This window comes from Homo sapiens, chromosome 20 (genome assembly GCF_000001405.40).
Source record: "Homo sapiens chromosome 20, GRCh38.p14 Primary Assembly".
In the NCBI taxonomy this organism is placed as follows: Eukaryota; Metazoa; Chordata; class Mammalia; order Primates; family Hominidae; genus Homo; species Homo sapiens.
In genome coordinates, this window is record NC_000020.11 from 21,568,870 (window position 1) to 21,595,977 (window position 27,108).

At 43.1% G+C, this 27,108-nt stretch overlaps 1 long non-coding RNA gene across 1 annotated transcript in view, besides 1 other annotated feature; it reads left to right on the plus strand.

Moving 5' to 3' along the window:
- Positions 1-1,154: 1,154 nt before the first annotated feature.
- Positions 1,155-27,108, plus strand: part of LINC01727 (long intergenic non-protein coding RNA 1727) — a 45,699-nt gene continuing 19,745 nt past the window's right edge. The window contains exon 1 of the long non-coding RNA NR_109880.1: positions 1,155-1,379. This is a non-coding gene — a long non-coding RNA (long intergenic non-protein coding RNA 1727). The remainder of the gene's footprint in view (positions 1,380-27,108) is intronic.
- Positions 5,383-5,883: an enhancer, noted in NCBI's record as "H3K4me1 hESC enhancer chr20:21554890-21555390 (GRCh37/hg19 assembly coordinates)". NCBI's record gives its function as "activates a minimal SCP1, AML or CMV promoter by ChIP-STARR-seq in primed H9 embryonic stem cells {active_cell/tissue: H9 hESC(primed)}" and the evidence as "EXISTENCE:reporter gene assay evidence [ECO:0000049][PMID:30033119]".

Sequence of the window (27,108 nt, forward strand, 5' to 3'; positions counted from 1 at the left end):
TGCCATACATGGCTTTGATTCTCTGCTACACATTTCTCAGATGGTTTTATGAGACCTCAGGAATAATACCTATTTCTTGGCTTTGTGTGAGGACTCAGTGAAACATGTTAGGAATGCTGTGAAGTCTGGTTGGCAGTGCAGAATAAGGGCTCATTTATTGGACTGGTTGTTGGGTCAGGTGGGGCAGTCTATCTGTAGATATACAGACACATAGATCAATGAACATACAGATGGAGATACAGCTATATAGATAGATGCACATGTACACATACATATAGTGTATTCACATACATGTATTAATTCAACATTTTTTCTTTTTTGAGATAGAGTCTGAGTCTGTCACCCAGGCTGGAGTGCAGTGGTGCGATCTCGGCTCACTGCAACCTCTGCCTCCTGGGTTCAAGAGATTCTCATGCCTCAGTCTCCCTAGTAGCTGGAATTACAGATGTGTGCCACCACCACGCCTAGCGATTTTTTTTTTTTCTATTTTTAGTAGAGACAGTGTTTCGCCATGTTGGCCAAGCTGGTTTTGAATTCCTGACCTCAAGTGATCTGCCCTCCTTGGCCTCCCAAAGTGCTGGGATTACAGGTGCGAGCCACTGTGTCTGGCCTAATTCAACACTTTAACAAATAATCCAGTGCCTACTATATGCAATTCACTGTATTCATATTTACATGAGTGGATCAATTATTAGTCCTATTTGTGAAATCCAAAAAAAGAATCTAACATTTGAATTTACGTAAGAAGTGTTGGAAAAACTGTTTTCCCAAATGAGCTAAGATGGAGGAATGGGACTTTTAGGAGTCGGCTTCACAAGTTACCTGCTAATCATTGATCTCAATGTAGGCTAATCCCAGGCAGTGAGAGATGGCCATTCGAGGGCATCACTGCAGAAGACCTGGCATTCTGCCTCCTTTTGGAGTCAGACTTTGGTCCCCTGCAGTGTTTGCCATTGTGGGGGCATCAGATGCTGATGGGCAGAATGAATGTGGAGGAAGTTGGCTTCACTAGGGCAAGGAATGAATGGCCACCACTGCTTTTGTGCCAAAGGACTAAGCCTCCCTGGGAGAGAGGACAAGAACAGGCTGGAGGAGGGGTGCCCTTCATCATCTTGTGAGCATCTGGGCCAAGTTCAGGGCTGGTGCTCTCGTTCAGATAGATTTAGCTGGTGGTGCAGAGATCCGTGAGCTTGCTTTTACAGGACTTTAATGATATATAAAAGCAGCACGAGGTGCTCCTGACTGTGGATTAATTTGGAGATGACTTTCTCTGTTGAAGAGTAGCAAGACTCTCGCGAGTTCTTAAAAATGCACTTGTTTGGTATGAGAATGAAAAGCAGTGGCTGAAGAACCAATCTTCAATGGGCAAGCCTTCTCTGGTAAGTTAAACAAATTCAGGCTGGGATTTAGAGGAATTCGTGCTTGTGTAAGGATTAGGGCATGCCAAAGTGAAAACTCCAGTATGCAAAAGTATTACTGAGAGGTGATTTAGAAATACAGATACTTGCGTTTATTTGACAGATCTGGAGCAGTTACTGTCTGCTGCAAAGGTTGCCACTACGGATGCAAGAGGAAAGGGCCCTCATGATTTCTGTTTGATTGTGGCCACCAAGACTAAATGGCGGAATGTAGGAATTACAAAAGCATGGAGGAAGGGAGGGAATTTTTGCAACTCATGAATAACCTTGTAAATGGAAAAGCCTGCTTTACCCCTGAAAAAGGAATAAAAGACTTGAGTTTACATGAGAAGTGTTAAAAAAAATTTCCCGTATACCCTTGCCTTCTGGTTAATTCCATTTTAAAATTGTAATTTAAAGCTAAATTAAAAGTAAGCCAATGTTGTGGAGGCGTGGAGTGGAATACAAGTACCTGGGCCCCACTTCCCAAGATCTGGATTTAGCTGGTCTGAGATAGATCCTAAACTCTGAATTTCTAACAAGCTCCCAGGTATGCTGATGCTGCTGTTCTGCACGTCATACCTGGGGTGGCACTGAGTGAGAGGTTGTTAGTTTTCCATTTTTGAAGGTATTGAGCAGAGAATGGTTCTCAAATTTGGCTGCATTAGAGTCAACTGGGGAGCTTTAAAAAAGCCCTAGTATCCTGACTGCATCCCAGATCAACAACAGCAGAAAGTCCCATAAAAGCAAGCTCATGGATCTCTGCACCACCAGCTACATCCATCTGAACAAGAGCACCAGCACTGAACTTGGCCCAGATGCTCACAAGATAATGAAGGCTGTGGGGTTCAGGCATCTGTATTTTTAATAGCTTCCCACATAGTTCAATGTGTAGCCGAGGTGAAGAACTGCTGCTCTAGGAGGAAATTATTTGAGGCAACGGCAACCAAAGGTCTTAGTCATCATGAGGTGTCAGAATCACTTTGGAGACCACGAATATTTTGTAACGCTTCCTGTCCTATCTTGAAATGAAATTCACAGATTGTATAATCTACTTACATGCATCATTACAAAAAGTTCTTTCTGTAATATAAAGGAGAAACAAAAGAGAAGTTGAAAAAGGTAACTTTTGGTAAACACACACACACACACACACACACACACACACACACATATTCGATAGGTAAATGCTTGGGCACAAGCTCTCTAGAAGACGTAATAAAGTATCCAGGTGTTTGTCTTGTAAGAATGTGATCCCGACAACCCCAGAGCCAGGCCAAGCCTGGAGCACAGGACCAGTGACTCAGACACTACCGGCTTGGCGTCATGGTGCCGTGGTTTTCCATACTGGTGAAAAACGCTCAGTAAATTTCTAGGCACAACAACACACGTTGACTGACTCTGGGTTCCTGCATATTCCGCTCATACTAAACCAGGCGATAATGCTCTATGATTACGTGTCAGAGAGTTAGGGCCTAGGGTAGGTAATTAGCAACTGGTTGTTCACCGACATGCATTTCAGGCTGAATTTTGAGCATTTCAGAAATTCTAGCTTCCCTCTTCCTCCCCCAAATGCGAAGATGTCTCCACTATAATTGAGCAATCACAAACGGCCCCTTCCAATGTCTCAGGGCTCCCCGTTGAACACCCATGTGGAATAAGGAGTGAAGGTGAGCTCACTGAAATGCACTCGATGCCAGTTCCACCTTCCACACCGGAGCAGCGTCCCGCAGACCAGGGCTGGTGGGCGAAACTGGTGGGCAAAATGGGGTGGGCTGGATAAAGGACTCCCACCCCAAATGGCTGCAGGGGCCTATTTGAGGGAGTGGAGAGAGAAGGGTTGCGGGCTTCCAGCCAAGCTTTACCCTCACTGAAAGTTCAGGTTCAGGGCCCAGTCCCCCAGCGTGAAAAAGGGACCCTTATAAAGAGGTAAAGGGGCTTCCTTCAAATCCCCTGCACCCGCGCCCCCTCCCTCAAAGATAATCCTGGGAAATATTTAGCGATCTCCAGTGCCCTCTAGTGGCAGATACTTGTCATGCCAGGCACCAAAAGATGGTTAATAATTTTTATTGTTTAAAAACATCACACAAGCCCATGCAGGTTCATACAGTAACAATCTCAAGCTTTCCTGCATTTCCTTTTATCATCCCGATCTTACTACACCCCTAGAGAACATTTACATTCCTTTCCTATGCATTTACAAATGATATATATGTATATTATATATTCGTTTCTATATGTTACACAGAGATGTAGACATGTAGAAATATACATTACATGTGCACATATGAAGTGTATGACTTATAAATAAGCATAAAATATATTTTGTATGGCATATATGTGTATATATTTTATATTTACAAATGTAAAAATATTTTAAAACTTTATATAAATATATAAAAATATAATACATTTAATTCTATGCTTTATACAATATGTTTATATAAAGTTTATGCTTATATTGATAATATATTTTTATGTACTATATAAAGTCTGAAAATATATTGTATAAGGTTTATTTTTATTTTTATTTATTTATTTTTGAGACAGGGTCTTGCTCTGTTGCCCAGGCTGGAGTGCAATGGCACAGTTCACTGCAGCCCCGAACTCCTGGGCTCAAGGGATCCCCCCACCTGAGCCTCCGAAGTAGCTAGGACTACAGGTGCAAGTTGCCATGCCTGGCTAATTTTTTGTAGAGACAGGATCTCCCTGCGATGCTCAGGCTAGTCTTGAACTACTGGGTTCAAGCAATCCTCCTGTCTTGGCCTCCCAAAGTGCTTGAATTACAGGTGTGAGCCACACACCCGGCCTGAGGTTTTTAAACACAAAGTGATCTGACTGTTTTACCGCTGCATGCTGTTGTGCAGTGTGGAAATAATCTGATTTGTTTGATTTTTCTCCCCTACAGATGGACATTTAGATGCCTTTCATTTTTCTTCCATTGCAAGAATACTTTGTACATATATGTGAGTTTTTCTATAAGAAACACTTCCAGCTTTTCATTTAAGTCAGAGACTCAAATCTGAAATGCAAAAGCTTGTAAAACTGTGAAGTGTTAAAAATCATCCCGCCAAAGGAGTGAGGTGAAGGGAAGTTTTATAAAATTGGAATGGAAGGAAAAGGCTGGACAGGAGTGGGATGGCGTGGCTGAGAGGGAGATAGGAGGCTGGGTATGGATGAGGAGTGGGAAGTGTGGGATGGCGTGGCTGAGAGGGAGATAGGAGGCTGGATATGGATGAGGAGTGGGAAGTGTGGGATGGCGTGGCTGAGAGGGAGATAGGAGGCTGGGTATGGGTGAGGAGTGGGAATTGGGAACACCGTTTTCACCTAAAGCTGTATTCAGGGCCTGGGGTTTTTGTTTTTGTATTTATTTAGAAAATAGATAAAACTTCTATCTGGTTCAAAATTCGACAACAACAGAAAGGTGTTAGATCTCATCTTCCTTATTCTTCTGTCTTCCAGCCGCTCCGTTCTCCCCAGCAGAGCCAACTAAAGTAATCAGCGTCTTCTGTATCCTTCCACAGATAGTACATGCATAAGCAAAAAGAAAAAAAAAAGTTTCTTTCTCTTTCTCATTTTCCCTTCAAAAACCACCAATAATTGTACCTGACATACATAGCCTGCCCCTTTTCTTCATTAAATAATGGGAGATTATGTCATTAGGAAGAAACAGATTTCTTCATTCTCTCTGCCTGGCATTCCATTATGTGGATGAGGTGTTATTTATTTAAGCAGTCCGCACCTGAAGGACATCTTGGTTGGTTCCAATCTTTGCTATGACAACAGTGCCACAATGAGTAGCCTTGTACAACTGTCATTATGTGCATGTGTGGGGACACATGTAGGATACAGTCCTGGTAGTGGAATTCCTGTCTCAGAGGGTTTTTTAAAAAGAACTGCAAGTTGCCGTCTGTGGAAGCCTTGCCAGTTTGTACCCTTGTGTGTTCTGCTTCACCTCTACCAGCACCGGAGTCACTGAGCGTTATGTTATTTGCCAACTGGATAAGTGAAAAATGGTATCTCAGGGCACGTTATGGGACATGTTAAAGTATAAGTGCAGCCAAATATCTTTTCAAACACTGATGAGGGGCCCTGGAGTTTTAGTGCCTTTCTTTAGAGGAATTTTAGGTGCTGGTCTTACTGACTCGGAGCCTCTTCCTCAATCTGCATCGCCTTAGCTGACCCCAGTGCACTTTAGGGCATTACGTGGATTTGGGGTTTTCTCATCCTGCTCTCCTTCCTTTGGGAGTGGCCTCCAAGGCAGCTGTCTTCCCATTCCCCTTGCTTCCCTCCTATCTCCGTCTCAGCCACGCCATCCCACTCCTGTCCACAAGCCGGGTGCATGAGCCATTCCAGAGGGACTTTACCTTGCTGGAATAAGCGTGGTAAGGGGCCTGGGTGTTGTGGTCCTCCCTCCTTGGGCTCTGGTGCTCTGGTTCCCAGACTGTGACCCACGATCCTCTCGCGTCCAATGTGCGTGACCTCTCCGTCCGATAGCACAAGCAATTCTCAAACAGCCACTTGAGCTGGACGCCCCCGGACATGCCCTGCACTTTTCCAGCTTTACATCCTGGCCTGTGTTGCCCCCTCCATGTGTGATGCCCTCCTTGAGTCCGGCATGGGTGCACGGCTGCCCGCTCCAGCAGGTCAACCCTCGGGCCCATGAACTTCCCCTACACAAGCTCTTGTGGCACCAACTGTCTTCCTAGGTGGTGGCCACACCAGGAAACATTTCCCAGCCTCTCATTGCTCTTGAAAATTGTATCATCAAATAGCAGCACATGTTAAACAGTTAAGAAGAAAATTAACATGCAAAATTAACAGAAGAAGAAAGAGAAAATGCAATCTGCCCAAAGCTGTTCTTGACAATTTTTGGAGTGATTTAATGTTATTTTAAGTTTTATGAAGAAAGTACAATCTTATCAATATTTGTATCTTGCTATTTCATATTCACTGCAATTTAATATGTAAAAGTTACCACAGGGACACTAAGTGGTAAAGAGTTAATGGTCTTCCCTGATTCCCACTGCCTGAGGCCAAATTTCCATCCACGCCAAGCATGCTTTTCAGCATCTCCACCTTCAACTGCTGTTATCTGTCTGCCCTAGCTTCTTCCAGCGCCCCAGGGAAAAAGCTGCATCACATTTTGGAGGGAAATAAAGAAAGAGAACTAAAGACCTATTGGATTTCAGCCTTTGGTTGGTGGTTAATAACCTAGATAGCTCAGGCATTTTCCAGGCTGGAGTGCAGTGGTGCCATCATAGCTTACTGCAGCCTCGAATGCCTGGGCTCAAGCAATCCTCCTGCCTCAGCCTCCTAAGTTGCCTAGTTAATTTAAAAAATATTTTGTAAAGACAGGGGCTTCACTATGTTGCCCAGGCTGGTCCCAAACTCTTAGCCTCAGGAGATCCTCCTGCCTTGGTATCCCAAAGTGTTAGGGTTATAGGCCTGAGCCACTACACTTGGCCCAAGAATTTAATTAAAGAGGTGGGATGAGCAAAGAGTTCCTGGAGGGAAGCTAGCTTTCACCTGCCTTCCTGCTACCTGGAAGGTGCTGTTTATGAATTCAGGATTCATCTGTCCACATTGATGGTTTTCTTAGCTTGTGAGGTTACTGAAACACCATTATTACAGATAGAAAACTTTCCCCAGTGGCCCCTTGAGACAGGTTGAATAATGTCACTTAATCTCTATAACCTTCCTCTTAAATAGGCATGGTCACTCTCTCTTTTAATGATGAGAAAAACGGGAGAAGAGAAGTCCATAGAAGGATGGAAACTTGGCCTCAGGCGGTGGGGCTCAGGCCCCTGCTCTGTTCTGGTTCCATGCACTTAGTGGATGGGAAGACCACTAACTCTTTACCACTTAGTGTCACTGTGGCAGCTTTTACACATTGAATTGCAGTGAATATGAAATAGCAAGATACAAATATTAATACAATTGCACTTTCTGCATAAAGCTTAAAATAAAGTGAAGTCACTCAAAAAAAGGTCAAGAACAGCTTTGGGGCAGATACCTTCCTTCCTTCCTTCCTTCCTTCCTTCCTTCCTTCCTTCCTTCCTTCCTTCCTTCCTTCCTTCCTTCCTTCCTTCCTTCCTATGGAGATATTGTTACAGGGAGGCCTATGGGATCCTGCCTAACTAGTTTTGGAGGCAAATGCTATGTGGGGGCTTGTAGGAGGCAGCGCTGTGCTTGCTGGAGTTAAGCTCTAACCTGAGTTGGGTTTGCATCCAGCTGCTGGTTGGTCCAGGGAGGTCTCCAGCTGCTGCTTGGAAACCAACAAAAACAGTAGTGAGTTCCAGAAACGTTGGAGTAAGGTGGTGACTTGGTGATAAAAAGTATTTCTGGAGGAAAGGGAAAACACTCCCATTTTATTATCTGTGAAATCTGGTGGCCAATGAAACCACTTCCCACTGACTTGGGTGGGGAAGGCAGATACTTAGATTCACGTTCCCAAAGGAGAACATTATGCAATGGAAGATGTAGCTTCACAGTATATCCCACTCTGTCAGGACTCTGTGCTGCATATAAACTCTGATGTGAAAAGCATTCTTCCTCCCTGGGATTGTGCAGTTCCCAGGCTGGGCAGCTGTATACTCTAGCCCTGGATAGGTTGATTTGTTTAAGGAAGGCTGTTTGCTAGCAGGTATACAGAGATAATGCATTTTATATGCAGAGTTAGTCTCTTTTAAAAAGAGAAAGCTGAAAAAGCCTGAAGACATAAAAAACAATCTATTCACTCCTGCGCCTCTCCCTTCTGCAGACACAGAACTTCCCTGGCAGCTCTGATCTGGGGGCTTCCTGTAGGTGCAAAGACCTGGTTCTTCAGACTCCATCCATGGAAGGAGGGAACACCAGTCACGGGGAGGTGGGCTCTGCACTGGGTTCCAGACACAGCAAAACAGGGCCTGGCATAGGTAGGAAGGGGAAAAGGAGGCCCTAGTCAAAGGGCAGGGCAGCCTCAAAGTTGACCCCAAGGCTGGGACCAGGGGGTACTTCTGCTCCTTTCTGTACCCAGAGTCAAAAGAAACAGTTCATTCCTCTTAACCCTTTCATTGAATCCTCCCCGCAACTTGGCACCCCTGAAACCACATAGAGAAATCACTTCTGTTGTAAACCCTTTCTTGGTGGCCCCCTGTGGCAGCAATGACTTAAAGCCTCATCACTCATGATAGTTGTGTTCTATAAAGCTGCCACGAACACTGAACTAGTAGACGCTGAATCGTTGCTCCTAGGAGAAGCATAGGGTTAGATTCCTGCTGGCCTCTGGTCATGTTTTGTCAGCTGATCGGTACATAACATCATTCTATGTATGTTTCTGTTGACAGATGCCTTGTTGGTGGTATAGTGTGAATCCATTAGCACTGAACTCAGGACCAGCAATGGTGTGACTCAGGCCTGAAGGAAGCTTTTCTAGCACATGGATTTCCTCTGTAAGGCACCTCACAGCCTCTCGTGCCTGGGAACTCTAGCCAGCACTGTAGCACGATGCCTAGGGCCATTATAAATGTGAAATCACCAAAGAAACCCCACAAAAATGTGAAAATCACGGCACTAAATAGACCACAAAAAGGATGCTTGTTTGACTGCAAACAAGTATGAGAACTGGAACCAGAAAGTAGGATGTCATCTTGTTCTTCCTTAGCACTGGATGACTCAAATTTCTCTCCACTCTGCCAGTGTCTTTGAATGACCAGGAAATTGCTGGGAATATTGATTTTGGGATAACAAATAAATTTTATCGACTAGCTGAATTTGCAAATATGGAGTCCACAAATAATAAGGGTTGTTTGCATCTTGAGTTAATTGCCATTTAAAAACAATGTCCTTTTCCAGTTTGTTCATTCATCGTGGTCCAGGTCTCAAAAGTGATTCCTCCCAGGGGTCAGGTGGGCAGTGCCAGGGTCTGGTGGTGACTCAGGTGGAACAGAGGTCACTGGCCTTGTCCAAAGGAGGCTGCAGCTCCTTTCCTCCTGCAAGCTTGGTAGGGGTTGGGGCCTCATCAATTTTTCTTGGGAGGGGCCCATAGTGGCATCTGTGTGAGTGTGGCCAGGGATGTCTCTGGAAGAGGGGGTTGCAGACTGAGATTTTCTGTTTATTTGGAGGGTGAATTTGGGGTGCTGAAGGGCACTGGGGTGTCTAGGGCTTCCTATGTCTTCCCTTAGTGCTACCTCTGGGACTCCATTTTGTCAGAGTTCCTGATATTTCATGAGAAAGCTGGAAATCCAGGTTTTTTTTTTTTTTAATCAGAAATGTCAGGATTTAAAAATATAAGCAGCTAACTAAAAATTCAAAAATCCCTAACCATTGTGCAAGCCAAATGAAATAGGCATAATAAACATGAGCTGCTATGTTCCTAGGTGCCTGGTCAGCTGGGATACAGGTGAGGGGCTGACGGCAGGTGCAGGTGACCCCCTTGCCCACTGCCTGTCCATTCCATGTGTTGTTGCTTGGACCCATTAACATTGTCTGCCTCATATTTCTGTTTGAAGAAAGTTCTGCTACGTGGGTGAGTCTTGTCTATATTGAGAGCAGGGTTGAGCTGCAGTCAGTTATAAAGTCTACCTTCAGTGGGATATTATAAGGGTTCACATGAATTGAATTAACAACATTTTTATATCTGAGGCTACACAATCCTAAAGGAAATGTGACTTCTACAGAGAGAATGAAGATGTTCCTAGCACTTTCAAATATATCGAGCGTTCTCCAATAAGTGTATTTTTTTCATCTTGTGCATCTTGTGTATGAAAGCTTTCTGTGAGGTTATGTCCATGAAAACAAACGCCTTTTTTTCTTTTCCTCATAAAAGCGGAATAATGAAAGATAAGGTTAAGGTTACACCATGGCTACAGTGGTTGTCAACAAGCCTTTTGAGATTGTCTTTTTCTGTTGAAATCAGTTAATGAATTGGAGTTTTCCACTGAGCTCACAGAAGGTAGCTTTTCAGATCTGGGAGCAGATAATCAGAGAGACACTTTTTCCATGCAGCATGTTGAAGGGCATCATTTGGTCTTGTGGCTACACCAGCTGAGTCTGGTCCAGGACCAATCTCGCTAATTACCACAGGTGGACCTTTGGCCCAAGGAAGCAAACAAGGCTTTGGGGCACTTCTCCATGGCCGCCTTGGGACCCTTCAGAAGTGATAAGCCGCCAATCTGGAAGCTGCTTGGGTGATAATGATTCTCGAATGGGCTTTTATGTGGACGAGCAACATGACCTAAGGCACCAGGGATACCAGAAAGGACACTTTTTATGCAGCTTGAAATGTGAGTAGAGAGCAAAACAGATTTCAAAAGACGAGCACCGCCGCTCTCTCGACATTATAAAGTGTCTTCTGAGTGACAACAGTGCATCCTTGTGCATGAATTGCACTTAAGCTTTGTATTTTTGGAAAATAACAATCTGTGTTTTCTGGTTACTATAGACCCAGTATGGGCCTAGAGGTTTTATGTGTGCAGGACCTCATTCGTGTAACCCTTTCAGTGATTGGGAGAGGCAGGAGTGGTTCTTGCCCCCATTTTACAGGGGAGGAGACGGAGATCCCTAAGCTAGTGAAGGATCCAGCTGGGACTCTCTAGCTGAAGTCTGTGGATCCCAAAGCTTGTGCTTGTTGAGGATCAAGAGATGATAGAACTTGCAGTGGCTTGGATGTGGCAGGAACTCATTTCACTTATCTTTTCTCAAGACATGGGTGGTGGGAGTCGTCAGGCTGATAGAGCATCTGACGGGAAGTTAAAAGAAATTTAGCCTGGTTAGTAGTGTGTTTGGAATCACCTTGTAGGGTTTACCTTAAATCATGGGGATTGTTGCAGATTCATTATCTATGTAAAAAAAAAAAGCCTCTCAGTGATGCCATGGGAGGGCCATTGTGGATTACTGCTTGATTAATCACGGCTGAGTAGGGAGAGTTGCTGTCATTTTCCTTTTTCTCTTGTTTCTGTGAAGTTCCTCACCTTCCTATCTCAGCCAGATGTCTTCATCAACCCCATCTCCTCCCAGCTCCTTGGGAAACTTACCACATCTGTTTTCTTTTTACTTTTGAATAGTCTTTTTCTGTCAACTGGACTCTTCTTATTTTCTTTTTCACCAATGTTGCAAAAGTTGAAAGAATTGTACAGAGAAAATCACGCACTTACCACCCAGATGCCACAACTGGCATTTGCTGTATGTGCTGGATCACACATCTGGTCTTCTGTCCATTCTTCTAACCGCCCACCAAGACTTTAAAAAAATGCATTTCAAAGCAGGTTGCAGACATTATATACTCGCTTCCTACACACTTCAGCCTGCATACCACTGACCAGATTTCAAGATTCATTTTTGTTGCTTTTTCTGTTAAGTAAAAATTTACAGTGAAATGCATAATTCTCACATGTAGCATTGGGCAAGTTTTCCCCATTAGCTTTTAATACATCTGCTAATCTCTCCTATTAAAAAACCAAGCCAAATCTGCCCTCACCTCAGGCCCATTCAGCTACTGCCCCGAATTGCTCCTCCTCATTTCCAATCAGACTTTTCGAAAGCACTGCACCCGTTTCTTCTCTCCAGCCTCTCCCTGCACCCATCTGGCCCCGTCCCTACCCATCCTGCCATCTTCACTGAGGTTACCAATTCCTTCTGTGTCACCAAATCAAGGGATATTTTCTAGTCATCACTCTCCTTAGCCCTCGGTCGCACCTCAAGCTCCTTTCCTCTGGACACACTCCCTTGCCTGACTTGCAGGGTGTCACGCTCCCTGGGCTTTCCCCCCAGCCCTCTGGCCACTTTCTTTCTCTCATTTGAAGTCTCCTTCACCATTTTATCCTCTGAAATTAAGTATTGGAATTGCTTAGGGCTCAGCAATTCCATACTTTTTCCTGACTCCATATTTTCACCGACATGATCTCATCCTCTTCTGTGGTTTCAATTTCTGCCCCCACACACATGACCCTCACATTTGCGTGCTGCCTGGCATCTCTCCTGGAGCTCTAGGCCTGTATTCCAGCTCAGTGCCCCTTCTTAGATGGTCCAGAAGCACCTAACATGTTCATGTCCAAAACCTGAATCAGTCTTTCCTCTTCACACTTGTTCTCTGTCTTAGTCCATTTTGTGTTGCTAGAATGGAATATCTGAGGCTGGGTAATTTATAAAGAAGAAAAGGTTTGTTGGCTCATGATTCTGATGGTTGGAAAGTTCATGATTGGGCCTCTGCATCTGGTGAGGGCCTCAGGCTGCTTCCACTCATGGTGAAAGGGGAACCCCGGCTCTCAGAGATCACTGGTGAGAGAGGAAGCAAGAGAGAGTCGGGAGGTGCCAGGCTCTTTTTAACAAGCAGCTCTTGCTGGAACTAATAGAGTGAGAACTCACTCACTCCCATGGGAGGGCATTATTCTGTTCATGGGAAATCTACCCCATGACCCAAACACCTCCCACTAGTCCCCACTTCCCAGCATTGACACACTGGAATCAGACTTCAGCAGGAGATTTGGTGGAAACAAACCATGTTCAAACCACAGCATCCTCCTCTAGGATTCCCCCAGCACAGGGAGTGGCATTACCATTAACTCAGGGGGCATTGCTTGTCCCTCCTCCATTGCCAAATTGTATTGATTTTGCTTCTTACAATTATGTCTTGATGCCACCTTCTGCTTCTCTCCACTGCCATAGTCAGGGTTCATATCCAGCTGGGCCTCCCACCCTCTTGATGCCCTCCCAGCATGCATTCTCCACCCAGTAGCCAGAGTTCTGTTCTCAAAACACTAGCCTGGTCCTGGTGCTCCCCTGCCTACACCCCCCAGTGGATTTCCAGTGTCTTCTGTCTTTGCAGGGATTGCAAGGATCTTCTGGGTCAGGCCCCTGCCCACCTCTTCAGGCCCCTCTCCCTACCCCCTGACCCCAACACTTTTTGCTCTCCAACCTCACCAGCCCATCATGCCTTGGTTCCTCCCACTGCTGGCCTCTGACCATGCTCTTCCCTCTTCAGGAAGCCCTTGCCCCTCTCCTTGCCTGCCCAGGCCTCCCCATATACACAACTTGCCTTGCAAATGCCTCCTTCATGTTATGTGTCCCATGATGCCACATGCCTCTCCTTTCAGATACTTAGCATGGCCACACTTTTATATTTCACTGTGAGCATCTTTGATTAATGTCCTCTTCCTCATGGAAGCTTCATGACTATATTTTTTTCCTTTGCCTTTGTTTGATCTTCAACATCTAGTGAAATGCCTGACACATATTAGACACACAACTGTTTGCTGACTGAGTACATGAAATTTCATTCTTTACATTTTCCTAATTTTTTAATGGAAGGCAATTAATGTTAGCCAAGGTACCAAAATTGGAGAATTAGTGTAATAGCTGTGGCTCAGATTTTAAAAAATATTTTGATAAATCTGGGACATCTAATTCCTTGGGCAGGAAACAAAGGCTCACTCATGTCACCTCAGTTTTTAAAAAAATTTGGACAGTGGTCATATACTCTGTGGCTTACAGAGCAGGGGCAGGAGACCTGGAGCCTGGAGCCTGAAAATCATGTGGCTATTAAGGGTGAATGCCTCCTGGTCGTGCTGTTATTCTTGTTTGCAGAATGGGACAGTCACATGCCCCTGGGGTCTCCAGGACTTGTGAGAATGGGATAATATTTGGGTGTCTCTGCAAAACGATAAAATCACATTAGTCCACTGTGGAACGGGCAATCATGTTTAGGATCAGGATTCCACCAAATTTTCCTGTTCTGTCTTGCAAAGGGCAGGACGCCACCCCTTGGACCATAGTGGAAGGGGCTGCTTTATTGGGTCCTCCAGCTTTGGAGACTTGAGAACTGGGCTGAATCAGTGTCACTCTTATTATTATTAATGTTGTGATGATTGGTATTTCAGTAGGACTGGCTCTCTGTAAGCTCCGGCCATCCCATCAGGATTCAGTGGCCTGCAAGAGGTTGACCATGATGCTCCAGCTGAAGGGTGCTTTGGTCCCTGGTGCCAGGGTGATGGGCAGCTCAGTGGGAATGCACCTCCATCCGAAAGCACAGGGAGCCGGTAACCCAGGGATGGGCTCTCGAGAAGCTGCCAACCCAATACTTCTGGGAATTGGCTTTCTCTTTTCCTTGTTGTGGAAACCTCACCAGCTGCTTCATGGGGGAGGTTAATTAATGCAATTAACAACAAATGCCTTAATTGCAGATGTTTAGAGAGACACTTTACTATTATTATTGTTATTATTGTTTTGTGTGCCACTCTCTGCACACTTGGATATCTCTTTATTAAAGCAAATAAAACCATAATTAGGTGCAGCCCAATTCAAACAGCAGCAGCAGCTTGGAGCAGGAAACCATAATTCAAGAACAAGAGGCATTCTTGACAAATATTATGTTGTCTGCCTAGTAACTGGTTGTGTGCCAGGGTGCTGTGAGCCACTTCAGGAGAGCTCTTACCTGCTTTCTCTAAAGCCTGGACAGAGGGGAGAGGCCAGATTGAAGGAGACAGGCCGTGGGGAGCTAGGGCCATGCTGGCAGCCCCCTCAGAGAACAGGCCCTTGAACAAGCTCACGGGCCAGGGGAGCTTGTATTCCAGGAGGCTTTGATCAGAAATTGGGAATTACACAGGAGCTTGGAGTTAAGGGAAAAGAAAAGGAAGACAGTTTACTGCTCTTAAATTGTGGTTTTGGAGGATTAGAAGAAAGGAACCAGAGATCAGGTTAGCATTTCAAGGCGAAACAATCGATAAAACACACATTCCGGGCCTTGACCATGGATCAAGGCCTTGACCATGAAGTCTTTAGCTGTGTTTCCCGATTGCACGGACGGCTTATAGTGTGAAGTTGTGTGCATCGATATGCTAATGACGGCCTCTTTAAGTGAAATTAATGCCTGGATTGTGTGCTTAGAGCAGCCCTTCATTATTCCCTGTGATATGAAGATGTGTTGGAGATTCTTCCCGGCTTCTCAGTGACACTCTTCATACAAAATTTATCTCTTTTATGGGTTTGAAGCTCTTTCAGATACATATCAAAGACCTTTCCATGCCTCTACCCTGCATAATATATTCTGCAACAGCTTATAATAAATCATCCTCCTTCCCTGACTGGTTAGCCGTGAGCAAACATGGCTATTGCTGGCACCGAAAGGATGCGAGATCCTCATATTTAATGCTTTGCCTCTTATGTTACTACTGTCTGTCCTTCCATCTTCCCTGGGGAGCCCCACAAAATAGCAAGGGGCTGGAATCACCGGCAATGCTGTTCTGATTTTAAAGCCATTGTCTGGGTTGATAATATAGAAAATGTAACATGTTGTTCTTTCATGTTGAAAGAATCTTTTCCTCTCGTTTGCCTCATTTTCTGATTTCACAAGTAGACGTGGCACAGGTGCCCACTGTATTTCCAAAGGACTTAGGTTGACAAGGGTGACCATATTGGTGGTTGCTAATGAGCTGAGCATAGATGGGCTTTGTTGCATCTTGTTGAGGAGAGAAATCAAATAGAACAAAGGGAAAGATTGTCCAAAATGGTGGTCTCTGGGGTAGGAACTGCACCATGGCTGCTGGCTGCTAACACGGGAGGCGGATCCCACTCTAACATGGGTGACTTGGGAGAAAGCCTCCCTCAGAGAGGTTCCCTGTGTGGGCACAGAGGGATCAGGCTTTCCAACGCTCATGGGTCAATGGGGCTCTTGTGTTTGGTGTGAGTGGTGGGGTAGAAGGATAGGTAATTTTTTTAAAACAGAAACAGAATTTGCTTTTGGTGTGGTTGTTCCCAAAGGCCAATGTGTGTTAAAGGAAATGCACCCTGTGATGGATATGGCTAGCTGCACCCCCTTTCCTCACCCAAACCTGCTGGCTTTATCTTCTGTAAAAATTTATAGCTGGAGAGATGGTTGCATAGAATAAATGGGACACTTTCCAGATTCCCTTGCAGCTAGCTGTGGCCACTGAGGTTGACCAAAGATTAAGTAAAATTCCTGAAGTCATACAGCTAGAAAAACAACAGAGGTAATATTTGAACCCATATCTGTTTGATTCCAAAACCATGATCTTTATTGTCTCCTTTCATTCTCTTAGAGGATGGAGAATTTCAATCAGGTAGTTTTTAAAATTTCCAGAGAATAAAGAATACACTTAACAAAAATGGCTTATCTTAAATTTATAGTATTATTATTAACTACAGATAATCTATTGAATAGGTAACATGTATTACCATACATCAACAGATAAAAACATATCATTGGGACAATTACCGAATGGTTTCTCATAAATTATAAAAGTATTTCAATTAGTTTTATTGAGGTATAATTTACATACAATAGAATCTGTAGACTTCTGTTGGATAGCTTGATTAATTTGGCAAATGTACACAGTCATGTAACCATCCTCGCAATCAAGATGTAGGACATTTCCATTACTCCAAAAGCTCTCCATGCTGCAGTGTATTCAACCCATCCTTGCAACTCCAGCACCTGGTAAACACTGACCCATTTTCTGGGACTATTGTTTTGCCTTTTCTAGAATCTCACATATATGAATTAACTCTTGCTTTCCAATTATTATGTTGGGGCAGTTTTTATTAGAAGGCTGTTTTGGAGTAGAAAGTTTGGAGTTTTCCTTTATAGCACTGCAGATTGAAGTCATGTAGACCAAGTGGCTATTGCTTTACAGACTCAGTCAAGTGTTCTTTTCCCTGTTGCAGAGGGAATGGGATTTACATTGTAAGCAGCACTATAAAAATGGCTGTGCACTTCCTCAGAGCCACTCTGCCAGTTACCTAAACTGAGCCACCAGAATTTACTGATGACACTTGCGAGTAAGTGAACTCTTTATGCACTTAAAGAGGAATGTTTACTATTTGTGTAGAATATTGGAAATGTCCAAGTCAGAGCAGGTTAATTGGATGCATGCAGTAGTTGGGAGGTGGGCTGAGGACACTTCCAAGCTCTGAAGGCTCTTCCAAAAGTCCCATGACTTGCTCAAAGTCTGAGGCCCCCTGCTAAGTTAGCAAATGTTTTGTCCAAGTGTAGGTCTGAAAAAATGCAGCATTGTCTCTCTGCAGTTCTCACCAGAGCCAGACCTGAAAAATCAGGCACCTCTGCGGTCAGCTGTGTTGGGTATTATTCTTGGAGTCTTATGGACAGCACCAGAGTCTTGACTACAAAAGCCAGTCATGGCTGGACTCCCTCAGACGCTTCCCTACATCTGCCTCACATTGACTTATAACCCTTGAGTAGGTAGGACTAAGAAAACAACTTCTGTTTCAGGATATTTTAGTTTGGATTTCCCCAGAAGCAGACCCTGAGACAAAGATTCGAGTGACCATCTGGATAAACATCCTCAGGGGATGGGGCAGTGCGACAGGAAAGGGAAGCCAGTTACACTGGCAACTGGAGGACCGTTCCTCTAGGAAACTCTGGGAGATGGTGGTGAGCTCGCAAAGAAGAGGCCAGGAAGCTGAGGTCCTGGTGCTGCCAATCCCTGTCTGTGGCTGGGTGAGGGCTGCGTCCAGAAGCATGGGATCGCCAGGACTCCTGGCTCACCCTGTGAGCTTGTGGTCAGTGCATTCCAGAGTACACAGGAAGCAGCCTTTGGTGTGCAAGGGTAGCACTGAGGGGCTTGGGCAGGGCACCTGCAGGGACTGCTACACAGGCCATACCAGGTTCCCTTCTTCATGCACTGTCTAAACCGTGCCTACTCTCCCTGCACCTGCCATAAACACTGTGTTCCTCATCAGTTTGCACTGGGCCATGTCTCTTTAGTATCTTACCATTATTGCCTTTTCTAGAAGACTTCTAGGATCTGCCTAGATAACTCCTCAGCCATCAGATCTCATCTAAGCACGCTTTTCTCAGAAAGGCTTGCCCTGGCATCCTGGTGAGCGCAAGTCCCCCTGCCACATGCGGAGGGGGCGTTGGTGGACAGGCCTGCCCAGTGCTCCTCAAGAGGCTTTTCAGCAGAAAACCACATTTTCCAGACTCCCGTGGGGCTGGGCTTCTGGACATCATTGGGAAGTGTCTTTGTAGCACAGGTGGAGTGGAGCCTGCCTTCTGATTTTTCCACTTTGTGCTTTCTGCATTTCTGGCAAGCAGACCTGGAGATGTGGGGTTGTTCTGTGGTTCCTTTCCAGCAGTCAAGTTTTGTAGTGTCAAGAGATCAACGGAGGGAAGGTCACTCATTATTTTGTCCTTGTGTATCTATCTGGTGTGCTGTGGTTTAGACCAATAGTTGAGATGATAATGGTTTCCTTACTGATCTTTGGATCAAAGAGAAGGTGGTGTGTTCCCAGAGCCTCTCGATTCTGTTTCTCTGATGGTCCCATGGTTGGTGGTTGTCCTTGAGGAACAGGCCCATGGTATTGCTGAGAGTAACTGGAAGTCTATCCTAGAGTCTGCTGCTTCCGCTCTTCCAAGATTTTGTAAGCACTCAGCCCACCAATTAAATACTCTCTGCTACAAAATAAGATGTGATGGCTTATGTCTCCTAAAATTGAACTTCAGTGGATATGTCTAATTGCACCAATACTTTTTATTTTGTTTTATTTTTAAAATTAACACATAATAATTGTACATATTTATGGGTATAATATGATGTTTTAATACATGCATACCTTGTGTAATGATCAAATCAGGGTAATTAACATATCTGTCACTTCATGCATTTATAATTTCTTTGTGGTGAGAACAATTGGAAACCTCTCTTCTAGCTATTTTGAAATAGTCATTATATTATTGTTAACTATAGTTGCCCTACTGTATTTTTTAAATTTTATTTTTATTTTCCACATACTTCTACTTGGAAGCAATTTTATATTTATTTGTGGGAGTATATAAAATAGGGGTCTTCTATTCAGAAGGTGCCATGACGATGGGCTTATATCAGCTTTGGCTAGTATAATAACTTAGGGCAATGGTTCTCAAACAGGGGTGACTTTGTCCCCCAGGAGACATTTGGGAATGTCTGGAGACTTGGGTCATCAAAACTGAGAAAGGTGCTTTTGGCATTGAGTGGGTAGAGGATGGGGACACTGCTCAGCATCCTACGGTGCACAGGACAGCACCGACAGCAACGAGTTACCCAGCCCAAACTGTCAATGGTGCTGAGGTTAAGAAACTCGGATTTATGGACTTCTGTCTTTTTTTTTTGAGACAGGATTTCACTCCCATAGCTCAGTCTGGAATGCAGTGGCGCGATCTTGGCTCACTGTGCTTGGGTGATCCTCCTGACTCAGCCTCCCAAGTAGCTGAGACTACAGGTGCACACCATCACACCCAGCTAATTTTTTGTATTTTTAGTAGAGATGAGGTCTAGCCCTGTTGCCCAAGCTGGTCTTGAACTCCCGTGCTCAAGTGATCTGCCTGCCTTGGACTCTCAAAGTGCTAGGATTGGGCTGGGCGAGGTGGCTCATGCCTGTAATCCCAGCACTTTGGGAGGCCGAGGCAGGTGGATCACCTGAGATCAGGGGTTTAATACCAGCCTGGCTAACTTGGTGAAACCCTGTCTCTACTAAAAATACAAAAAATTAGCCAGGTGTGGTGGCAGGTGCCTGTAAGCCAGCTACTGGGGAGGCTGAGGCAGGAGAATCGCTTGAACCCAGGAGGCGGAGGTTGCAGTGGGCCGAGATCACGCCATTGCACTCCATCACTCTTGGGCAACAAGAGTGAAACTCCATCTCAAAGTAAAAAAAAAAAAAAAAAAGTGCTAGGATTACAGGCATGAGCCACTATACCTGGCTGGTTTTCTGAAACTATATCAGATAGTGTACAGGATCTTTGGGAGAGCAGAGAGCTCGGTGAAATGCACAAGCACAACCCAGACTGCTCCAGGAATCATCCTGATGCTGCCATCCCATGCCTTTAAGGACTAGATGCCAGAAGCCCTCCTGGGCAGGGGCGTGATTATTGATCCTTACTGTGCAGAGAAGGACGTGGAGGTATGCTTGTCTTGACACAAGCTTGGGTCTGTTCTAGTCCATGCTTTCCTGGACTCCCACACCCTTCCTTTTGTGGGACGTCTGTTTGGAAAAAAAATCACTAATAACCTGACTGAATGACTTGTAAGTTCTAGCAAGTAATAGAATGGCATTTGCCTCTTTTATCCAAATTGGTAATGTTTTAAAAGATTTTATGACTTTAAGGTAGTCATTTTGTCTAGTCATATTTCTGTGTGGGGAGGTGCTACATATTTATGCACACATAGGCTATTTATTTAATTTTTAAATAATTCAAGAATATATTATCATCATAGAAAACATCAGACAATAAAGAAGTGCACAGAGAAAAAAGTGAAAATACCATTTGAACCCCTCTCCCTCTTCACTTTCAAACCCACCGCCCTTCCCAAATGTACCTGCAGTTCCGTTCTGGTGTATATTCTAGATATTTGGTGTACATATATTTTCTATGTGTTTACATGCACAAACATGCATGTAAAAAAGGCATCATCTTGTTTTCAGGATTTGTCTAATCCTTGTGATCATATGTATTATTTTGCAACTTCCTTTCTCCATCTCCCCTCCCACACTTTCTTTTTCTTTTAGCTTGATATGTCTTGAAGAACTTTATACCCAGGAATGTCTGGCTTCACCTCATTCTATTGGCTGCTGTGTAGTGTGGCTTGGGACAGATATGCTGCATTCAGGCAACTATAGAGTGGTGATCACAAGCTCTCATCCTGCTGTCAGCCTGCTGGGGTTGAAATTGTGGCTTCACTACTTTGTACATATGTGACCTTGGACACTTTACTTAGCTTCCCTGTTGCTTGTTTTTCTCATTTGTGGCCTGGTTCTTCATCTGTTAAAAAAATGTGAGCTTGTTGAAGTCATCCAACAGATTAACAAGATGTGCTTATACTGTAGACACCATCTACCACATTTTCCCCAGGTCTTGACATGAGAATGGATGCAGTTTGAATTGCATTGAAACCTTACTTCTTCTTTTCTAAAATTTTCTTTTCCCTAGCAGAACAATTCTAAACAGATGTAGTTGAAACCCAGGTTTTGAAAATTCTGAGCTTAAGAAATTATATTTTTTATAGTTTCCTAGAAACTTTTCCTTCATGACCTGCTGGCTACAGGCAGGATATCAGTTGATTCCAATGATTCTTTATTTCACCTTGGCATGTCTTTTATCAGAAATCATATGGAAACTTTTTAATTTATGGGCTTTTATTGCAATCCTCAATTCACCCTGAGTAGTCTATTATGAAGTGTTCTAGAGGTTCTTATTGTCCCTTATCAGAGAATTGTATCTCGGTGCAATTCATCTGTAGTCATTCTTCACAGAGAAAATCTTTCATATTACCTTTCTTTCATCATATAACGACAACTCTTGAATACATCATTATTCCACAATGAGCTTATAAATTATTATCATTAGGCAATTTTTCATATAATCTGATTTTATAAACTGTTTCTTTTTATTATCGTTAGAGGGGAACCAGTAAATGCATCTGTCTGTTTTGATCCACCATGATAACAGTAATAGAAAAACTAAGTAAGGACATCTTACTGAGTCGCAAACATACTGGATTTGTAATGACTTCAGACCAGGATATTCGTGTGCAAATGGCCCAGCACCATGGCCCTCTCTTATGAGTCACGGTGCCACCCATAGTGGCATCTTAATTGGTAATGCTGAGCTATCCAGATGTCTTTAACTGAATTTTTTCCCCACAGAAATGAGTTTTTATTTTTACTTTTTCTTTTTTGTTTTGATACAGGGTCTTGCTCCGTCACCGAGTCTGGAGTGCAGTGGTATGATTATGGCTTACTTGAACTTCTGGGCTCAAGCAATCCTCCCACCTCAGCCTCCAGAATAGCTGGGACTATAAGTGTGGATCATCAACCCTGGCTAATTTTTTGATTTTTTATAGAGACGAGGTCTCACCATGTTGCCCAGACAAGTCTTTAACTCCTGGGCTCAAGCAATCCTCCCACCTCAGCCTCCTAAAGTGCCGGGATTACAGGCATGAGCCACTGTGCCTGACTTCCAGATTTGCATCTTAAAGGGCTGTTCCATTGAAGTAAGTTTTAAAAATGTAAAATAAAATATTTTTAAATGAAGAAAAAGCCAAAGTAGGTTACAAAGTAGAATATGTGATTTGCTGTGTGTAATGGTAACCCAAGAAAGACCCCTCACCTGTGACCTACCTACCTCCCCGAAACCTACTTACCTGTTCTTAGAGAATGCATATTTTTTTCATATAGAAGTAGGGAGGTACATTTTTCACATATGGCTTTTAGATCAGCATTGTCTAACAGAGCTTACTGTTCTGATGATGCACATATTTATCCTCTGTTCTGTTCAGTATGGTGGTGGTGGCTGCATGTAACATTGGGTTGTGAAATGTGGCTACTGCTACTGAGGAACTGAATTTTAAATTTTATTTAACTTTAACACTTAAATAGGTTCATGTCGCTGGTGGCTATTATCTTGGATAGTGCAGTTTTAGGTTGTCCTTAGTTGTGGTATGTATATTCTGTGTTACTGCTTGTTTCCAATAGTATGGATAATTGAGAATTGACTACCTTTTTTCCCCCAGTCCAATTAATCCTTTAGGTGAGTAGGACAAGTAACATTCATTAGGAAGACAACAACTTTTTTTTTTGAGATGGGATCTCGCTTTGTCTTCCAGGCTGGAGTGCAGTGATGTGATCTCAGCTCATTGCAACCTCTGCCTCCCAGGCTTGAGCAATCCTCCCACCTCAGCCTCCTGAGTAGCTGGGACCACAGGGGCGCGCCACTGTACCTGGCTAATTTTTTTGTATTTTTTGTAGAGATAGGGTCTCATTATGTTGCCCAGGGTGGTCTTGAACTCCTGAGCTAAAGCGATCCACCCTCCTTGGCTCCCCAAAGTGCTGGGATTACAAGTGTGAGCCATGATGCCCAGCCAGGAAGGCAACAATATCAACAATAGCCAGCCTTCTCAGGTTCTGGTTGTGTTCTCACACATTGCCTGGGTTAACTATCAAATTTTCCCACTAGTTATGAGGGAGGTAGTACTTTTATCTTCATTTTGAACTTAGGGAATGAAGGAAGCACAGAGAGGTTAAGTGCCTTGCCTAAGGCCACACAGCTGGTGGCTGTCCAGCTGCCCTCTTTCATATCCCATCTATGTGTGGGTTTGGCTTTCGATTCTGCTGCATTTACAAATGTGTCTACCCCTGTACTGCTTCCACATAGTTTTATTAATATTTACTAACATTTTATATTAAGTTCTGATAACTGCAGGCAAGTCTCCCTCTGTGTTCTTTTTCAAATTAGTCTTTATCCATTCCAGAGCCTTTGCTTGTTTATATTAGGGCCTCACAACTTTGGTACCATTGGTACTTGGGTCTAGATTATTCTTTGTGGTAGGGTCTGTCCTGTGTGCTCTAGATGATGAATAGCATCTCTGGTCTCTACACCTGGACTTCAGACATTGCCAAATGTCCACTGGGGCCAAAAATCACCCTTTGTTATAAACTATAATTCTGTATAAATTGTAGAGTCAGTGTATCAAATTTCAAAAACAGTTTGGTTTGAGTGTTGATTGAAACCCTGTCAAATTTATAAATTAGTTTTGGGAAGAATCACTATCATTATAATATTGAGTCTTCTCAAACATGGACCTGTTTCACCTCAACATCTTCTCAATCTCATTTCATGTCTTTTAATAACATTTTATAATTTTCCTCATGAAAGTTGTGTGCATCTTTTGTTAAATTTATTCCTGGGCGTCTTGTAGTGTTTTGCTATGATAAAGAGATTTTTTCTTTTCTGATTCCAAGAATTGGTCATTACTGGTGTAAAAGAACATTACTAATTTTTAGTGTGTCTTGCATATGAAAATCTTCTTGAACTCTTTTATTAATTCTAACAGTCTGCACATCTTCTAGAATTTTTTATGTAGATAATTATATTGTCTGCAAAATAATCACAATGTTGACCCATTGTTTAACATTCTTACACCTTTAACTTCTTTTCCTCATCTCATTGCATTGACTAAGACCTCCAAGAAAATGCTGAATTCTCGCAAGGACAGAGGGACACTTTCATTTTGCAAGCAAAGAGACAAAGACTTGGGCCTGTCCAAGGTCATTCAGCGAATTAGAACAGAGTCAAGGCTAGATTCTAAGGTTTACAAACTTCTTTTTCCTTTATTCCTTCTTGCTGCTTTTGTTTTTGGTTAATTTAGTTAACATAAAAACAATTTGCTGTCAGACCCTTTTCATTTTAAACGTATTAAAGCCTGAAAAGAAAGTTACTTACAGTCTTTTATTGCCTGCGGAGTATAATGCATCAGCACACTAATATTGACACGAAACCTCTGTTATTCTTTCATTACAAAAGCATGTCAACTCTTTAATATCTACTAGCCTGCAAGTATGTTTCCCCTTGGGAAATGCCTGCAGTAGTGTCTTCCTGTTAGTGAGAGATATTAAGAGGATCTGAGTCTTATAATAGCAATAGCTATGTTTGATGGATCACTTAAAATGAAGCAGGTACTGTGATAGATACTTTACAAGTATGCCCTCACTATGTCTTTATAACAATACTCTAAGGTGTATATTATTATCCGTGTTTTACAGATGAGGAAACTGAGCTTCAGGGTATTAGGTAATTTGCCCAAGGCCTCTTGTTTCTAAGTTTGCTGAGCCTGGACTCAGACCTGGGTTGGACACCAAAGTAAATGGCCTACTTGCTATAGATTTTGGTTGCCGTTAGGTGTACAGACGTAAAATTAATATGGGAAGAATTCAAATTCAGTTTGATGGGTCTAGGAATTAATTCTTTTCACTGCTTTAGCTTAAGCAAATGAAGTTATCTCCTAGCATTACTTCCACATAAATACATACAAACTAGTAATAGATTTGATTTAGTAAATGCCTCCAATATGCTGGGCACATCATGCATATTATCTCTTATCTGCATAACAAATTTGAATGGAAAGCCTTGTTAGTACCACTTTAGGGATCAAGAGACTGGGGTTCATAGAGATTTAGTAACAGGTAAGAAGGAGCACAGCTAGGTTGCACACTGCTTTTTGCACCACGTCAGGCCCACCAGTTGGCTTGTGAGCCCAAAGCTGTGTTTTGGTCACACTAGATTCACAGTTGAAAGAATATAGTCCAGCAGCTGCATTTTAAAGAATCATTTCCATCATTATGCAGTATGTGGAACCCAAGAGAGGCTTCTATAAACATGAGTACATGTTCCCAGACAAAGGAGATAATATCGATGACAAACAGCCATTATCTAGAACATCTGTTAGGCTGTTTCTCCTGGTTTTAAATAACGCACGGCATGCTCTAATTCAGGTGTACTCTGAAAACCCAGCAGCTTCTCCTGTGATTTCTGTGATCTCTGGGTATGATGAATGAGAATATCTGTTGATCATGGAGTACACCACTTAATCAAGCACTTTGGCTGCAGATCAAATTTTCTATATTTTTAACTATAATTATAGCTATAACCAACACTACTTATCTTGCTTTATAATTTACACAGTGATTCCACATTCAGTGTCTCATAAGCATTTAATCCCCAAAATGGCTCTGCTCGGCAGTCATTAATATTGTCCTCACAATAGTGTTTTTGAGATTGCCCACATGTATCAACAAAGAGAGACATCCAAGAGATATTGTTCTTTGAGAAGAATGGATTTTTACAATATGGTTTAATGTGGTACCATTTTAGTTTAATTGCATTCAGAAGGGAACATATATTAAGCAGTTAGTTGATATCTCTGGGGGTAAGAGTTTCAGAAAAGCTTCTTCATTCTATTTTACATATGCCTGAATTCCTTTTATTAGTTTTTAAATTTAAATTTTATAAATGCAGATGGTTTCTTTAAATATATATTTTACACAAATACAAAGTCATACAGGGATATTGTTTAAAAAATCATACAGTCCCATAAGGCCGGTAATAAGAGAGATATTCTACCTTGTCACCTCCCTCACCCCCACCAGTATTAGAAGGTAACAACTCTGAACTCTTATAGAGCACTGTTTTAGGGATTGGAGACTGGGGTTCATAGAGATTTAGTAACAGCTAATGAAGAGCAGAGCCAGGTTTGATATTTATTACTCCATCTTAAATTGAGTGGTTTTACTGTTATTTGTTATTGATTAGTTTTAGATATTATATATTGACTTCCTGCTGTGGAAGATGAGGATTCAGACCCCTTCCGTACCTTCCTTCCATCCCTCATCATTCCACTGTGGTCATATCGTTAGTCAATGTGAGATATGCACATTATTATGACTCTAGGTCAATACCACTTGCAGCCAAGCCACACCATGTGCTGTGTAGACTTATATTTCTATTCATGTACAACTTCTCCTCCAAAGTTGGTAATAGTCTCTTTTTAAAAAACTTTTGCTTGTTATTAAAAGAAAATCACTCATTCATTTTCAAGCTTTCTGCTGGGATCCTGTTTCTTCTCAAGATGATGCAGGGCAGGGAAGGTCCAAAATTGAGACTTAGCATGAGAGGGTTCTTTGCTTCACCCAGGGAAGAATTCAAGGTCAGTGGTGAGAGAAAGCAACTTTTAACAAGCAGTGCCTGGCTCATAGGCAGTGTGCCCAGCATCAGCAGTGTACGCTGGCAACTGTATTTATACCACTTTGAATCACATGCTAATTAAGAGGTGGGTTATTGAGAAGTTTCTGGAAAAGAGGCGGGAAGTTTCAGGAACCATTTAAGTTAACTTCCAGGCTGTTGCCATGGCTTGTTGCCATGGCGTTTACAAGCTGCCATGGCACTAGT